Source organism: Homo sapiens, chromosome 1, assembly GCF_000001405.40.
Source record: "Homo sapiens chromosome 1, GRCh38.p14 Primary Assembly".
In the NCBI taxonomy this organism is placed as follows: domain Eukaryota; kingdom Metazoa; phylum Chordata; class Mammalia; order Primates; family Hominidae; genus Homo; species Homo sapiens.
The window spans coordinates 99,726,900-99,745,915 of NC_000001.11; the positions used below are offsets into that span (position 1 = coordinate 99,726,900).

At 38.1% G+C, this 19,016-nt stretch overlaps 1 protein-coding gene across 8 annotated transcripts in view, besides 1 other annotated feature; it reads right to left on the minus strand.

Annotated features, from left to right (window-relative positions):
• FRRS1 (ferric chelate reductase 1) overlaps nt 1-19,016 on the minus strand; it is a 62,666-nt gene that overhangs the window by 22,930 nt on the left and 20,720 nt on the right. For all 8 annotated transcript variants that reach the window (XR_946655.2, XM_017001271.2, NM_001361041.2 and 5 more), the window contains 5 exons: nt 15,280-15,374; nt 13,894-14,041; nt 11,187-11,369; nt 2,751-2,849; nt 1,594-1,741 (listed from right to left, as the gene is read on the minus strand). Coding sequence is in view for 7 of the 8 variants with exons in the window: in XM_017001271.2 (XP_016856760.1) it covers nt 1,594-1,741; nt 2,751-2,849; nt 11,187-11,369; nt 13,894-14,041; nt 15,280-15,374 (673 nt within the window). In the remaining variant the exon portion in view is untranslated. The remainder of the gene's footprint in view (nt 1-1,593; nt 1,742-2,750; nt 2,850-11,186; nt 11,370-13,893; nt 14,042-15,279; nt 15,375-19,016) is intronic.
• Nucleotides 18,214-18,508: a silencer, noted in NCBI's record as "tiled region #5706; K562 Repressive DNase matched - State 14:Gen5'". NCBI's record gives its function as "represses a minimal TATA promoter and a strong SV40 promoter by Sharpr-MPRA in K562 cells {active_cell/tissue: K562}" and the evidence as "EXISTENCE:reporter gene assay evidence [ECO:0000049][PMID:27701403]".

Sequence of the window (19,016 nt, forward strand, 5' to 3'; positions counted from 1 at the left end):
TTGAATAGAGACTTGGTTTTGCCAAGGCTGGTCTGGAACTCCTGGGCTCAAGCAATCCACCTGTCTGGATCTTTCAAAGTGCTGGGATTATAGGCGTGAGCCACTGCACCCAGTCCATTTCCCATGTTCTAAAGTACTGAATACACAGGCTCTAAAGGCCAAATTCCAACTGCACCGTTTACTTGTCTGGGCAAATTACTTCACCTTTCTAAGTCTGAATTTCCTCCTAGATAAAAGGGATAATAATAATACACCTCTAGCTTGTATTTTATGAAGATAAAAATGAAGAATCTATCTAAAATGCTTAGCCACTGACTGGCACTCAGTAAGCACTGAGTAATTTTTACTCATAATTATCAAGCCATATTAAGAAATTATTACTCATATTAAGAAATTTTTACTCATTATTATCAAGCCATATTAAGAAATTATTTTCAAGCCATATTTGCTATTGCTGGTGCAAACAAGAGCAAATGATTTGACTAAGATAACTACATGTATCACCTATATCTAAATCTAAAAATGTTCCTTTAGCATTCTTCCTTCAGCAAAAAAAATAAATTAATAAAAAGCGAGTTAATTAATTTAAATGTTCCTAAATTTTAACATTGAGCAGATATTTTATTCTGCTTCAAAACTTTTGGGAGTCTGCTTTACCAAGAGCAGAAAATCTAAAACACATGATAGAATTGTAGGCTTTTCACAATTTGCCTGTATCACATTTCCTGCTCTTCCTTTCTTTTACCCCATCTCTGTCTCTCCACTCTAGACATCTACCTTCTCGCCATTTTCAAAGTGGGCTATATTCTCAAAGTTTTGGAGCAATGTTATCTCCTAAGAGATGAGTCATTAAATGCTACATTGACATTTCCTGCAGTTCCTCAAAAATCATTAGCCAAGACCTGAAACAAAATCGAATTATTCCTATTAATATGTGTTGCAATATCCACCAGTGTAGTCTTCTTGAGAATAAAGATTCAGACTCATAAAACTATGTTAGGCTGTACTTGGCATCAGAGTCACGTAGAAAGATGTGAGACAGGAAACATACCACACCAGCAAGGCAGTGTGAGGCATTCTCCCCTCAGTGGGAGGTCTTACAGCAGCTTACTCAGCTGTCCAGGACCTATTCTCTTTTTTCCCTCCCCGCCTCCCTAGAGAAAGCTCAGGTCTAAGGAGATGAGATTCATATTGGGCAAGTTTCCCCACAGGAGCCAATATCTCTTGCAACAACCTCAAAGTCACTGCTTCTAGGTCCCCTGCAATGTTAATCTACTATCACTACACTCAGGGAAGCCCAAATACGTGGCTTCTTATTAGGTATTTATAGTTCTTCTGGTCACATGCATTTTACTAATCAGAAGCCATTTTTGTCTTGAGCCGTGTTGCCTTATAACACAAGGGACACTCTACCTCTATCTAGTTTCCAGCAAAATTTTTCTACCTTTATCCAGTTTCTGGCAAAATTTGACATTTATAGGAAAGCGTGTGCCTTAAAAACGGGCAATTACAGTAGTTTTTCCAAAAATGGGGGAAAGAGAGGGAAGAAGAGAGAAAAAGACACTTGAAAAGACAGCTTAACAATATACTTACCATCATTAGCTGCACCATCTGCTAGAAATATGTAATAGCTTGTGTTTAGATCAAATCTATTCTTAACTCCAGGAAGGGTAATGTTTCTTCTGAAAGAACACTGCATAACACCGTCCGCCAACCTCCAAGCCATATCCTCAAGGGTATCCTACAAACACACACAATGGGTCTTCTCAGCACTTTCCAAAGATTTGCTAAAAATAAGATATGATCAAAATCCTGCCCTGTTCAGTTTCCTTTCTCTAAGATCGTATGTCCATGCTTTGTCTGCAGTGTCATTGTTTTTCCACTTCCTCTTTGAAGAGAACAAGAAACATTTTCTCCCAGTTTATTTGTCTTTATCCCACTTGGCAAAAAGAAAAAATATTATTTTTACTTTGAGCCAGAACTCCACAATTCCTCTACCTAGGTTAGAAATTTTAACAGATGTACTAACTCCATCTGGCCACTAGTATACAATCAAAAACATTGAAATAAACAATTAACAAGTACTACCCTAGTGGCCAAAATGCAACATGCAACTGGGGAGAAGTTCCAAGCCAGCCTTGGGAGTCAATCCCATGGGAAGGCTGTGCACAGTTATGTCATTAAGTAATAGCTACTGCTCCGTCAGAGCTCATTTGCTGTCATTAAGTGATAGCTACTGCTCTTTCAGAGCTCATTTGCTTGTCAACTGTCCTGCAAAAAAGACACTTCTCTACCAGAAATAGCCCACCTTTGACACACATGCCAACAAAGGGCACTTAAGACAACTGTCCAAGGCATCTCCAGCCTTCATCAAATGTGCTCCTCTTTCTCACTAGTCAAGAAATTTTGTCACTAATGTCATCCTGTCTTAGAAACCCGTCTGTAAGCTTTTGAAAGGAAGCTGATGCCCTGACCATCTTAATAAACCATAAAGTACTTTTTTGTAGGATACAACCAAAAGGATGTAAGTGACACAAGCAAGAATTCATCTTTTCCTACAACAGAAACTTCTGAAGTGTAGAAAAGTTTCTCAGAAATCATTATGAGAGGAGCCCTGCTGGCAGGCCCCTGCTCAGGCTAGGTGGAACTGTGGGGGTTGGAGGCAATCTAGCAGCACAGCCACGCCAGTGATAGCCACACAGCCGGAAAGCGGGTCTCCAGGTGGAGGTTCTCAGAATTTTCACACCTACCCTGGAGTCCATTACAGGGTGACTTCGCCCCGTTAAATGGGAAGGCTGGATGTACACAGTCTGATCTTCATGAATACACAGATAAGCATCATCATCACCCTGAAAAACAATTGCAAATGAGAAAAAAAGCTCAAAGGAATTTCAGCATTTTATTTTCTCTTTTTAAAAAAGTACATCAGGAAACCAAATATTATGTGATGCTTTGAAAACATAATTTACTGAATCATGAATGATGCTATGAATTCTAGAGAACTGGCTATCTGATTTGCGAATAGCAAATAATTTTGTTATAATACAAAAGCACTAGAATTTCAGTGTAAAATAATAGATTAAGATAGATATATAACATGTTTATATGTTCATAAACCCATCACTAATCGAACACCACTTTAATATTTTCATGTATATTCATCCAAACCTATTTGTATTATACCTATTTTTTCCTTCCCAAATGGGAAAATATAGAGTTCTGTTACCTTTTTTCAATTAACTTACCATAAACAATACTCCAGATATTTATTTATTAATAAATATCTATATCCTACATATTTTAATGACCAAATACACTGCATTGTACTGGATATTTTTTGGTAACTTCTAAGATGGAAGACACTGTAAAGAAATATTGCTACATAGTGTACATATTCAATAGATTTAATGTTATATAACTGAGGCAAAAATACCTGCACTCAAGGAGGAATTAGTCAAACAATCTACCTCTTATCTATCCTTTAGTCTCCAAAGATCCTTAACTCTGAAAGTTAGATCTTATTCTTTAAAGTGATAATCAAGCCAGACACAGTGACTCACACCCATAATTCTAGCACTTTGGGAGGCCAAGGCAGGAGGATTGCTTGAAGCCAGGAGTTTGAGATCAGCCTGGGCAATATGGTGAGACTTCATCCTAAAAAAAATTTTTTAAAAATCAGCCAAGCGGGCCGGGCGAGGTGGCTCACGCCTGTAGTCCCAGCACTTTGGGAGGCCAAGGCGGGCAGATCACGAGGTCAGGAGATCCAGACCATCCTGGCTAACATGGTGAAACCCCGTCTCTACTAAAAATACAAAAAATTAGCTGGGCATGGTAGTGGGCGCCTGTAGTCCCAGCTACTCAGGAGGCTGAGGCAGGAGAATGGCGTGAACCCGGGAGGTGGAGCTGGCAGTGAGCCGAGATCGCGCCACTGCACTCCAGCCTGGGCAACAGAGCGAAACTCAGTCTCAAAAAAAAAAAAAAAAAAAATCAGCCAAGCATGGTGATGCATGCCTGTGGTCCCAGCTACTCAGAAGGCTAAGGCAGGAGAATCACTTGAGCCCAGGAGGTCAAGTCTGCAGTGTGGCATGATCGTGCCACTGCACACCAGCCTGGGCAACTGAGGGAGACCTTGCCTCCAAAAAAGAGAAATAAAACAGAATAAAATAAAGTGATAATCAAAAAGCAGACTGTCAATTAATAGGGGGAAAAAGAATGAAAAAGAATACCAAAAAAGAAGCAGACTGTAACTTCAAAGTACATTTAAACAATGGCACAAAGGAATAATCTTGATTTTAAGTTATTATCCATGGTTTGGTCTTTCACTTGGTTTCTCCATAAACTATCTAACAAGGTTCTTTATGTGCTTTAGTCACCCAATTCCTTAAACAAGGTCCAAGACTACCCAGTTATAACAAATCTTGCTATAAATTCCAATATTAGATTCTAACATACTTCTATAGTTTCAGATTCAACTTTATTTTTAAATGTTCCACTTTTAAAAACTCTCAAGGATGTACTCTTAGCAAAGTAATTATGTACTGTTACACATATTACAGTAAAATCAGAATTAGCCCAATTCCAGATAAGAAATTTGGAGCAATCATGACTTAAACCAGGAGTCAACAAACCATGGCCAGCAAATCAAATTCAACCTAAAGCTTGTTTCTATATAGCTCATAGTTTAAGAATGACTTCTACATACTTAGGTGGTGAAAAGAATGTTTCATGACAAATGAAAATAAATCAAACTGAAATTCAATGTCCATGTTTCATTGGAACACAGCCACATTTATTCATGTACATATCATCTATGGCTGCTTTTATACTACAACAGAGTTTAGTAGCTACAACAGAGACCATATTGCCCACGAACTCTAAAATAGTTACTACCTGGTCCTTACAGAAAACGTTTTTTGAACCCCGATTTATTTTTTATTTTTTAAAAAAGTAGAGATGGATTCTCGCCCTGTTGCCCAGGCTGGTCTTGAAATCTTGGGCTTAAGCAATCCTCCTGCCTCAGCCACCCAAAGTGATGAGACTACAGGTGTAAGCCACCATGCTGGGCCTGAACCCTGATTTAAACAATGCATGTTTTCTATAATATCCATCATGAATGAGACATAGAAATTCTTTTGTTACACAAAAAATTTTAATACAAATAATGGTTGATTTGAGGCAAACTGAGGATGAGAAGTCAAATAAAATCAATACAAGTAGACCTCCCAAATATTAGAGAAGATGATGGGGATAGACAGCAGGTAACTCTCAGTTCTCACTATTCCAAATGAAGAGTAAGTGAACGTGCTACTCCAACCTCAGGCTCCAGGCAGTTCTAGAAACCTCAAGTTTGAAAGCATAAAAGTACACCCTATAAGAACTTCCACCAAATCCCTGGGTTGTACTGAAGCTCTCTCCCCAGTTTGCCCCTCTCAAGTCAAGCATTTAGAGAGCATCCTATGAGAGAACATTAAGCTGGACACTGTGGGAGAAACAAAAATGACTTTATTATAAGAATATGGCTCTTATAACCTAAAGCTATATTTTATTGAGCCAGACAGATAGGTAAAGTGACATGAAAAGACAAATTATGTATGGCCAGAGAATTGAAAATGGCTTATCAGAAAAGACAGTAATTAAGCAGACCTTAGAAGATAAAACATATTTATAGGAGGACAAGGTAAAGATGAGATTAAAGGAAAGATTTTCCAAGTTGAAGGACTTCTAGGACCAATGATATAGAAATATGAAAATTTTAAGAAACAGGTAGTTTTGCTAGCTAAAATATATAAAGGATAAAAAGAGAGCTCTAAGGCTGAAAATTCTAGAAGTATTCCCAAAGTATTGAGCACCATGCTTTAAGAAAAGAACAGTTTTTCTATAATTATTATATAATTCTATAATTACTAAAGTTTTGCCAAAGGTTTGGAGGGATATTTTTGAGACAATTTTTTTTTTTTTTTTTGAGGCAGGATCTTGTTCTGTCACCTAGGCTGGAATGCAGTGGTGCAAATACAGCTCACTGCAGCTTTGACCTCCTGGGATCAAGTGATCCTCCCACCTCAGCCTCCCAGGTATCTGGAACCACAGCTGCATGCCACTACGCCCAGCTAATTTTTTATGAATTTTTTGTAGAGATGAGGGTCTCGCCATGTGTTCCCAGGCTCATCTTGAATTCCTGGGCTCAAGCAATCCTCCCACCACAGACTCCCAAAGTGCTGGGATTATAGGCATGAGCCACCACGCCCAGCCAAGACGATCTTAAATGTGGCTTGGGGAGAAAATTCCAATGGCTGTGTGAAGGATGAAATGAAAGAGGAAATCATGGAAGCAAGAGGACTAATGGCGGGTTACTACAGCAGTCCAGGAAGCAGACAGTAAAACTACAAGCCAAGTCAGAGATAGTGACAATGCAACAAAGAGAATGAAAGAGGTACGTCAAAGATAGAATCAGAAGTACCTGGAGATCAGTAGCAGTGAACATATTAGCACCCAAATCTTGATTTCTAGATCTATTCCTACTAAAAGGAAATAAAGCTCTTTTGAGAAATGATGAAATGCATGAAAGTATGAATGGAGAACATCTTGTTACACCAGAAACAAAGACATGCTCAAAAGTGGTGGAGACACATCAAAAGGGCACAGAAGCCTGCTTGAAAGGGCTCCCATTGGCCGAATTGGCGTCAGTATGACCCTGTGAAAGAATGAATGGTGGTAATAAACTACAACACAATGGACAAAAGAAACCCATTAGTCCACAGTGTTATATAAAAGGGAAAGGCAAGTGCAGAGGAAAGAAAACTCGTATTTTCATAAGAATGCCAGCTAATAAGTAAGTTAGAAGATCACCATTTTGCAACCACAAATGTAACAATTGATTCATAGGAGAAACATCAATAAATGCAAAAACCTAGTTACAGGCTATTGGGGAACAGATTATTCATACAGACTCAAAGTATCATCCCACATATTACTTATTACAAAAAGAAAACAGACTTCATGATACAGAAATCTGACAGACACCAGTGATCAAACATAGCATCATCAATAATAGAACAATTGGACATTATGAAACTTTTGAAATAATGCACTGATGTGGAAATAATATCCCTTACATAGCATTTGTGCCAAAAAGTCTTAACATAAATCTATTATATAAATTGTAGAATATTCTACAAATAACTGGCCTGAATTTAATTTATAAAAAAGAAAAAGGATTAAGTAACTGTTCTAAAGTAAAGGAGATCCAAGAGATGTAACAACCAAATGCCCTGAGTAATAACTGATTGGATCCTGAATAAGAAATATTTTTATAAAACAAAGGACTTTATTGGGACAGCTGGGAAAATTGGAATACAGATCGTCTGTTACATAAAATTAACGTTAAATTTTCTTAATGTGATAAAAATATTGTGGTAATTGTAGGAGAATGTCCATGTTCTTAGAAGACACATGTTGAAAACCTTAGAGATGAAATGTCATGACTATCTGTAATTTACTTTCAAATAATTCAAGAAAAAAATATGTATTTATATACACCACAAAAATCAACTTAGGTAGATAGAAATAGAAAGATAAAGTGGCAAATCTAGGTGAAGGGCTTATGGGTGTTCACTGTACTATCTTTTTAACTTTTATTGAGGTTTAAAACTTTTCAAAACAAAAAATTGGAAATGGCAGAAGGAAGGACCTGAAAGATGGATGAAAGGAAGGAATCCAAGTCAAAACCAACATTTCTCTGAATACCAAAAAAGATGCTGGCAGCAGTAACTGATGTGTTTATAAATTGCCTAGGACAGTACCCAACAAGAAACAAGCCATCAACAATGGTAGGTGCTTTCCTAACATTGCTGATCACCAAGAATGGGGAAGACAAGGAGACATCAGGGGGCATAATAAAAAGTTCAGTCTTTTAGATGTTGCTTTGTGCTGTCCAGGAACACACATCTGGACGAGACCAGCCTGCAGCTGGAAATCACAGTCTGGAGTCCAAGGGAGTTCAGGATTGGGGACATCCTGGAATTGGGGCATGGAGAGATCATGTATGGAATAAGATGATACAGCGCAGTGGAAGGAGAAGGAAGGAAGCTAATGCGCATACTTGATAGACTTTACATTATTTAACAAAATATCTCAAATAGGAAAGAGGTATGTACAGTACATCTTCACTTAAACTCATAGGTAAGTTCTTGAAAATTGTGACTTTAAGCAAAACAACATACAACATGGCCAATATTCTTTCCTCATCAATGTCATAACAAAACGATATTGAAGGAAATGATATTATTCAAGGAACTGCTGTATGTAGCCTCACTTAAAGTCAGAGGCTCCAAGAACCTATTGACGACATGAAGTGAGGACTTATTGTACTTGGAAATTCAGTTAAAATTCACACATTAGCAAGTCATTATTATCAGAAATAGGGTAAATTACACATTTTGATTTTAGTGATGAGGTCTAACATACCAAAATAATTGCTAACATTAATTTACAAGCCAAATTGAAAAAGGGGTATAATTTAGGTTATCGAATGAGTATTCGTGACATCAGATACCTTCAGTATTTAAATTTACATTATACACTCCAAAGAAATAGCAGGTCACAAAAATACCTGAAAGTTTTAAAAGTAATAACCAAAAATAGAAATAACCACTTAAAAATATATTTTGAGGATGATTCATTTCCCCCAAGTTAGTCAAACAGGTGTACAGATTATTTTAATCATTAAACAGGATTTCTCTGTAAATCAACTGCACCTGCGTAATTAAGCCTTTTTTGTAAACATTTTTGAGGAGTACTATACTGGAAACAGATAAGATTTCTAAGTAAGATAAATATATCTTGAATTAGAGAGAAATGCTTTTGTGCCATCAATGCCTACAATTTAGAACAGAATAACTGACCTACCTGTGGGCTACTCATTACCATACTGAATGCAGTAACAGTCTTTCCCTCTTGCTTACAGGTTTTACGTAACCAGTAAAAGGAAATGTATCCGTATACTATAGCATGAATCTTGGCTATAAAGTGACTGGAATAAGTTGGATTTTTTTTTAAGTGGCTAGAGCATATATCTAAATGAGTGCTGTAACTCAGAGATGAACCTTAATGAAACTATACATTCATTCAACAGGTTAATCCTTTTTGGACTCATTTTCAGAATTTCCTTTCTAGCCAGTTTTATCACATTCACATGACAGCAGCACTACCACCACCTATCATTATTGCTTTATAGTCACATTTTATTTTCAACTCAACCTCATTCACCTTATACACTAAACATTGTTCATTTTTGCCAACACTAAGAATATCCAAAAGAATATGCTACAGGTCTGATGGCAATCACAAAAGGAAGTGGGGAAGATGTTTTGAACAATCAGCGCATCAGCTGAGCAAGTATAAAATTTCCTATACAAGCAACTTGGAAGGGGAAGGATTCATTATTTCTTATATGTTATTTTTTTAAGTACATGGTATCTTTTGTATCTCATAGACTTAAGGTATATCTTTTGTTTAATGAAAGAAGATAGAAGTGCATTCTAGAGGTGTCTAGTGAAATATGTAGGTCATATATACATACTGAAATGGTATCCTACATCATTCTCAGCAAACTATCGCAAGGACAAAAAACCAAACACCGCATGTTCTCACTCATAAGTGGGAATTGAACAATGAGAACACATGGACACAGGAAGGGGGACATCACACTCCGGGGACTGTTGTGGGGTGGGGAGAGTGGGGAGGGATAGCATTAGGAGATATACCTAATGTTAAATGACCAGTTAATGGGTGCAGCACACCAACATGGCACATGTATACATATGTAACAAACCTGCACATTGTGCACATGTACCCTAAAACTTAAAGTGTACTAATAATAAAATAAAAATAAATAAAATAAAAATAAAAAAGAATAAAAAAAAGAATTAGGACAATTAAAAAAAAAAAAGAAAGTTAGTTACATCCAGCGTCTTACAATACTTGCAAACACTGCTCCAGGACCAATGTGATCAAGTGCACTTTCAGGACGAGCATTAGTTTTTCTATTACAGCCATGTCAGAGTTCCTTTTCTTTTTCTGAAATATGATTCCCTAAAGAAGTGGTGTTAAGTTTAAATCCTGATAAGAAGAAAACCCTCAAGACAAGAACGCCTGTGCTAATAAGGGGCTTTCTCCATTTCTGGTCATCCCTATGCCCCAAGGCCCACTCTGCTTGAACAGGACTTATACACGTCCTGGCCACAATACTCTTCCTGCTCCCTAGGAAAGCGAGATGTTTATGCAGGCCTCTGCTCTTCCACACCACAGCACAAGGCTGCCACCTACAGAATCATTTAATCCATTTCAGCACTACCCAGGATGAGTGAGAATCGGCTTAAAATAAATGCTGCCTTCTGCTGATTTGACAAAGGAGCCTACTGTAATACATGCTGCCTGGATATACAAGTTTAATTCTCTTTTTAGGAAAGGCACTGATGACTACTAAAATAGGACAAAAGAGCAGGAACACATGTTTTAGTTCTGGCCACTTGAATAAACAATTCTGGTTTGAAAAGCATTACAAAAAACATGACATTTTATGCAGAACAACTTTTCTTAACTGTATTTCCTGCTTTATCGCAAAGAGACAGACAGACATAAAATGGCAAATACACTGGAAATAAAATGATCTTCCAAACTTTCCTTAGGACAGCCTGTTCTTGGAAGTAATTGCCCAACTGTTAAAATCATACAGTACTCAAAGCCGTTTAACTTAGAATCTGTTCTAAGTTAGCTTCTCCTGGATGATCATTTGACCCTGGAACAAACAGTTTCAATGATTCTCCTTTTGGTTTTTTGTTTGTTTGTTTTGGGGGGGTTTTTTTAGATGGAGTCTCACTCTGTCGCCCAGGCTGGAGTGCAGTGGCACAATCTTGGCTCACTGCAACCTCCACCTCCCAGGTTCAAGTGATTCTCCTGCCTCAGCCTCCCGTGCAGCCGGGATTACAAGCGCCCGCCACGACGCTAGGCTAATTTTTGTATTTTTAGTAGAGGTGGGGTTTCACCATCTCGGCCAGGCTGGTCTTGAACTCCCGACCTCGTGATCCACCTGCCTCGGCCTCCCAAAGTGCTGGGATTACAGGCATGAGCCACCATGCCTAGCCGTGATTCTCCTTTTGTTACCACTTATGTAAGTGAGAGGTACCAACCATCCACTGATCATGAGACAATGCAAAGGATAAATAGCCTTTACTGGGGCCGCTCATTTCAACCATCACCGATTGGTCATCTCTTGTGAAGGACAAGAAGACACAGGAAGCCTCCTTCTCTGGGTCACAGTTCAAAGGACTCCTAATACAGAACTTCTTGTTCCCACAATCTGAGGCACTGAACTAGAAAAATGACAGAGGAAAAAAAAATCTTAATTATCAAACAAGCAGTTCATTGGCAATGACAGAAGAATAACTACCTTCAAGTACGGGTAGCTCCCAAATTAATGAGAATACCTTTCCATAATAAGCATTCAAATAAGGAAACAAAAGACACATCCCAAATTAAAAATGATCGGAGCAGTAGTTAGGTTATGAACTTTTAAACTTAATTAATTTTAATTAAAATTTGGAAAACATACACTTGTTGGGCTGTAATTGTGCAAGGGTATTAAAGCTCCTGTAATACACAAAACATTTCACATTAAGTAAGTTTTGGAGCAAAGTTTCTGATAGGTTTTGAGAAATTTTTGAGTTAATATTTCAGTCCCTAAGACTTAAATGACACTAACGTTCCTGCCTAAAGGGTATCCTCTAGTTCTCAGAGATGAAGATTTAAAAAGCAAACAAATAAATACTTAGAAAGCTATTATATTTAGGTTGTGGATTCTGCTTCTAGAATTCTGATTCAAATTTCGTACTAAAATGACATAAGAAAAAAATGGTCGCCCCAATTTACCAGCATTCCAAATAACCATAGTGATTTATTGGGGGGAGAAATAAGCAACAATCGGATGACTTAATCCCGAGCTTCTTGATAAGGAATATAAGACGAAGAGTCTTAGAAAAAAAAATCAGCTGTATAATCTGATAAATGAGCAGACTTTGTTCGAATGCTGTGACAGTAAATTTCAGAAGAGAGCTAAACATTATGTAACTAGAGTTCATGGAAATGTAAAGACAGATCATACTAGGGTGAAGAGAACAAGCCACTGGGGAATTAAGAAACTTGGACTTTGGTCTCTGCTCTCCCCTTCCCTACATCATGTTTGCCAAAGGACTTGTTCTCTCAGGATCCCTGAACCTTCAACTACACAACAAGAAAACTGTAAGAAATAGACCCTGAGGTATCTTCGAGCTCTAAAAATGCTATAAACCTTTGACTCTGAATGAACCTCCCTATAATTAGAGATTATAAACATGGCACAAAGACACAATAAAAGTTCCAACAAGAGCCTTTGATTGAATATACGGAAAGACAACAATATTGTCAACAGATTCCTACTGGGAAGCTCAGGTCCAAACTGACTGTGTATTTCCCTAAAGCAGCTTTTAATTAAATAAGGATTAAGCCTAAACTGAGAGCTAGTACAAATAACAGATCTAATTGTATGGTCAAACGAAAGTGCAACAATCATAATAATGTAATCAAATATAGTGCCCATATGCTATAAGACGTTGAAGAGAAGGAAAACAAAATAAGGAGCAAAGCGCATTACTTTGTCTTCTCTATGTGAATAAAAAGGTACAGAAGGATAATAAAAAGAAGGAAAAAGAAAAGGAACTAATGTTTACTGAATATCTATTAAATGCAAGACACAGTTATAGAAAACTTACATTCATTATTTTAATTCTTACAGTGATACTAAGAGCTAAATATTATTACATCTCTTTCTATAGGTGAGGAAACTGAGACTGAAAATTAAGTAATTTGCCCAAAGACACACGAAAATTAGGCAAGTCAGTATTTAGGCCCACGTTTGTTCTTTCAACTGAAACAACCTTTCTCAACACGTTTTTTTTTTATTGTATCCACTTCTGAATTGAGAAGTCTAACTTATCAGAATTTCCTGCAGTAAAACCCTTCTTCCTTATGTTTCTAATATGCATAACACTTTCCAAGATACGTCTTGTCAATCATAAATCTTTTAAATCAGAGGGCCTAGATGAAATTCTAACTGATGAATTTACAAGACATTTTCTGTTGTTCAGCATATACAATTCCCTAGGACTCTCTGACCTTAATGAAATGAGATCTAAGAGTTATTATCACCATTTCAAGAATCTCCTCCAAATCTTGTCTAAATTTAACTTAAGCTCTTCTTTTGATATCTGGCTGTGTTTAAAAGAAAGAAAAAAAAACTATTGCTTCATCAGATTTATTTTCAAATGAAAACATATCCACCACCAGTAAAGACTACAGGTGAATGTCATGACCAAACCTTGAACATGCAGGGTCTTGCATTCCCTTCATTCTAACCTGTAAGTCATAAGGTTGCAATGAAGGCTTCCTTCAGATTCCTACAGAGGACTCCAAAACGTGCTACCACTACCCAGCACAGCTACTTCTCTATGCACTTTGCCACACAAAATACACAGAACCACAATTTCCAATCACAAATTTACCTGTTTGCTCACATAGAGAAAACTAAGTACAGCACTTTACTCCTATGTAATGTCTTATTTTGTTTACCTTCTCTTCTGTATTTTATAATATATGGACATTATATTTGGCCACATATTATTTAGATTACATTTAATGAAGCTATAAAAATGTTACTAAAGCTGGGCACAGTGGCTCACACCTGTAATTCCAAGCACTTTGTGACTCCAAGGCAGGAGGATCACTTGAGCTCAGGAGTTCGAGACCGGCCTGGGCAACATGGTGAAACCCCATCTCTACAGAGAAAATAAAATTGTTACTTACTGGTTTGGTTAAGTGGGAAACGGGAGGTAACGTTGGCAAAGGTACTACTGTAGCTTTAGGTGTTGTAAAAGGAAATGCATTTGGTTGTGAAATTATAGGACCAGGAATCTTCACCCAGTAGATTTTATACTTCTCAACAACTGTGACTCTGAAATGCAATACCAGTGAGATTAGAACCCTAATTGTGTCCTGTCACAATCAGATCAAAACGTTAAAGGAAAAAAAAAAGAAAGACTAAACTAGAAAAACATGACTTACTACCTAACAGGACTATTAATTTTGCCTGAGGCAAATCTCTAACCACTCTCTCCCACCCGATCACTTGACAAATTTTTATTGCTTTCTCTCCCTCTGTCCCTCTTTCCTTATTTGTCTGTTTTGGGGGCATATTCACAATAGCCATGATGTCAGACCCAGGGACAAAACTGCACAGATTTCTACTTCCTGGCATATGAAGAACATACTACAAGTCATTTCAGAGTGCAGTATTCAATTCTTCCAAAGGGCATGTGTAGCAAGCAACAACAGCAACAAGCTATAATAGAGGCTGCATCAGTAACCATCAGCTTTCACTGGGGTCACACCCCCTTTTTCACATTCCATCTAACATACCAGTGCAGAGTTGTGTTACTGTGTGTTGGGGACCCACGCACAAAGTGAAGAAAACAGTCATGTCAGGATAGCAATCCTTCCCTTAAAATATATGTCCATATCACCCCTCAGGAATCATTAGATGGCATTATAACATTCCATTTCCCCTTGTATGTAGGATAAGGAAGAAGTTCTGTTTTAATTCTACTGAGTTTCATAATTTGAGAGGCATGCAGTCTTTCTGAGAGTCTAATCTGCAAGTTGTAATACTGCAAAAGAGTAAGAGTCATCCAAATTTCAAGACTTTCATTTGTATTCTCATGCTAATACAGGAGCCAATCTAAAAGTAGTATTATATAACATAAAGACTCAAGTATTAATTGATAGCTCTTATTAGGATTAAGGCAGTACAAGACTTCATTCACTTAACAAATGTCTATTAAATGTGTATTTTGTGACAGGTCCTGTGCTAGGTGATAGGTATACACTGGTAAAAAGCAAAACAAACTCCTACATCAGGAAGGTTGTGTTATTACTATACCAAAGCTCTCCTACATGTGTGAATGTCCAATAGGTACAGAAAATGATACAGACTAATTATGGTTTCAATTATACTAGTAGTTACAGAGTTGTAAACTTTTTTTTCCTTTTTTTAGAGATGGGGTTTCACCATGTTGCCCAGGCCAGTCTCAAAATCCTGGGCTCAAGTGATCCACCACCTTGGCATCCCAAAGTGCTGGGATTATAGGCATGAGCCACCATGCCTGGCCCAGAATTATAAACTCTTATACTCACAGAAACTGTGTGTGATTTGGAGCACTGCTTGGAGCATTCCAGTAGACTTTAATTTCTGTTTTTTTAGATGCACTTCTGTGACTCACTGCTGATCCCTGAAATAAAAGGGAAAAGAGCTACCATTCAGTCACTCAATAGCTCAGCATGGCTGGAACTTCTATCATTTTGCGAAGTAATTTATCATTGCATGACATTAGCATTCTGGTGAAGACTATTTTATTTAGAAGAAGGACTCAGGCACTCCATAAATGAAATGTTGATTGGTTGAGAACATATTAGCAGCTGGCTCTGTGAATAAATGAGAGTCCACAGAAATCTAAGAACTGAAGAGAGCTGTGAACACTGGGTACGTTAACACTAGATAGAGCTTGCTCATTGTTTCATGTACATTATAAATTTATATCTCTTCCATTAATAGATACAAATAGAATGCAGAAGATTCTTCGAAAGAGAAAAATTTCCTGCCTTCAAATACGTAGCATGATATTTTAGTCATTCCTTTCTCCAGAACAATCTTGTTTCCCACTTTCATGCACCTGGCCAACTCCTACTCATTCTTTGAGGCCTTACTTGAAGTTCACCTCCTCCAAGAAGCTCTCTCCCAATTCCTTCCAGGCTGTGTGTGGCTCTCTCTGCTATGCTTCCCACTCACTGTGTATGCTTCTAACCAAAGTTATCACACGGTTCTACTTATGTGTTCATAGATGTGCTTATATGTAAAGTAAGGAGTTCTTCAAGGAGCAAGAGTAAGTCTTGTCCATCACCTATCCCTCCCATTCAGGACCATTTTTGGTGTAAAAATAAATGGATGAATGAGTAAATAAATGAAAAAAAAATTAGACTCCTGTCATACTCTAGATCTCTGTCTTCAATATTAAAACCCTTCAAAAATTAATATAATTAAGAGCCAATATTCATATAAAACATCACAAGCTATAAATTCTTCAAACTACTTTACCTTTTATAGGGTGCTGATGTGTAAAAACATATTGCACATAAAATTAAGGAAAAAGTCTGATTGTTGTAAATCCATTTAGATGTTTACAATACATGGTTAATGTCATCATTTATCTTGCAACCACCACCTTATAGTGAAAAGAACCCCAAAAAAAACTGACAGAGAGCAATTTCAAACTACAGTTGACCCTTGAACAACACAGGTTTGAAGTGCATAGGTCCACTTATATACAGATTTTTTTTCAATATATATATTAGAAAAGCGTTTGGAGGTTTTCAACAATTTGAAAAAACTCAGACAAACTGCATAGGCTAGAAATATTGAAAAAATTAAAAAGTTAGGTATGCCTTAAATGCACAAAATATATAGGTATTAGTCTATTTTATCATTTACTACCATAAAATATGCACACACCTATCACAAAAAGTTAAAATTTATCAAAACATACATACACAAACAGACCACACATGTGCCATTCACAGAGACATATAAACAAATGTAAAAATGCAGTATTAAATCATAACTGCATAAAATTAACTGTAGTTGGGACTACAAGCACATGCCACCACACTCAGCTAATTTTTGTATTGTTTTGTAGAGACGGGGTTTCGCCATGTTTCCCAGTCTGGTCTCAAACTCCTGAGCTCAAGCAATCCACCAGCCTCAGCCTCCCAAAGTACTGGGATTAGAGGGATGAGCCACTGCACCCAGCTTTTATCGTGTTTTGTGCACTACTGTAAACCTTGAATAACACCATGGGGCCCATACGAAGTGCCACTAGTGATGCGGTAAGAGTTCTCAAGAAGCAGAGAAAACTCATGACATTACAAGAAAAAGCTGAATTGCTTGATATATACTGTAGATTAAGGTCTGCTGCTGCAGTTGCCCGCCATATCAAGATAAATGAATCCAGTATAAGAACGATTGTAAAAAAAAAAAAAAGAAAGAAAAGAAAAGAAAATTCGTAAAGCTGTCACTGCAGCTATGCCAACAGATGCAAAAACCTCACATTTTTTGTGAAAGACCTTTTCATCTCATATCGGAAATGCAGCTTTTATGCAGGTGTAAGAATTGCTGTAAGAAAGGGATACTTATAGACTAATATTATTCAAGAAAAAGCAAAGTCATTATATGACAACGTAAAGCAAATGGAAGGTGAAGGGTCTAAAGCTGGAGAATTTAATACCAGCAAAGGATAGTTTGATAATTTAGAATAAAAGTTTGGCTTTTAAAATGTCAAGATAACAAGAGAAGCAGCTTCTATTGACCAAGAGGCAACAGGCAAGTTCCCAGGCGTCATTAAGAAAATCATTGAAGATACCATCCCGGCTAACACGGTGAAACCCCATCTCTACTAAAAATACAAAAGGCCGGGCGCAGTGGCTCATACCTGTAATCCCAGCACTTTGGGAGGCCAAGGCGGGCGGATCACCTGAGGTCGGGTGTTCAAGACCAGCCTGACTAACATGGAGAAACCCCATCTCTACTAAAAATACAAAATTAGCCGGGCGTGGTGGCACATGCCTGTAATCCCTGCTACTCAGGAGGCTGAAGCAGGATAATCGCTTGAACCCAGGAGGCGGAGGCTGCGGTGAGCCAAGATCCCTTCATTGCACTCCAGCCTGGGCAACAAGAGTGAAACTCCGTCCAAAAATAATAACAATAATAATAATAATACAAAAAATTAGCCGGGCGTTGTGGCGGGCGCCTGTAGTCCCACCTACTCGGGAGGCTGAGGCAGGAGAATGGCGTGAACCCGGGAGGCGGAGCTTGCAGTGAGTTGAGATCAGGCCACTGCACTCCAGCCTGGGCGACAGAGGGAGACTCCGTCTCAAAAAAAAAAAAAAAAAAAAAAAAAAAAGAAAGAAAGAAAAGAAAATCATTGAGGAGAAAGTGTATCTGCCTTAACAGGTTTTTAATGCAGACAGAAGTACCCGATTTTGGAAATTAATGCCACAAAGTCACTTATTAGTAAAGAAGAGAAGCAAGCACCAGGATTTAAGGCAAGAAAGAGCAGGCTATCTCTACTGTTTTGTGCAAATGCAGTCAGTTTATGATCAGGACTGCTCTTACCTATAAAGCTGCTGGCTGCTAATCCCCGAGCCTTGAAGGGAGAAGATAAACATCAGCTGCCACTGTTTTGGTTGTTAACTACAAGAAGTCCTGGACAATAAGAAATCTTTGTCTGGATTGGCTCCATGGACGTTTTACCTCTGAAGACAAGAAGCACCTTGCCAGTAAAAGACTGCCTTTTAAAGGTTCTTTTGGCCGGCACGGTGGGTCATGCATGTAATCCCAGTGCTTTGGGAGGCCGAGGCGGGAGGATCAGTTGAGGTCAGGAGTTCGAGACCAGCCTGGCCAACATGATGAAACCCCATTTCTACTAAAAATACAAAAATTAGCCATGCATGGTGGTGGGCGCCTATAATCCCAGCTACTCAGGAGGCTGAGGCAGGAGAATCACTTGAACCCAGAAGGCAAAGGCTGCAGTGAGCTGAGATCGCACCACTGCACTCCAGCCTGGATGACAGAGCGAGACTCTGTCTCTAAATAAATAAGTGTTCTATTGATATTTGATATAGTTTGGATATTTGTCCCCACCCAACTCTCAAGTTAAATTGCAATCCCCAGTGTTGGAGGTGGGAACTGGTGGGAGGTGTTTGTGTCAGGAGAGCAGATTCCTCATGGCTTGGTGCTGTTCCTCGAGATAGTGAGCAAGATCTGGTTGTTGTAAAATGTGGCACCTCCCCCCCCACTAACTCTCTCTCTTGCTGTTGCT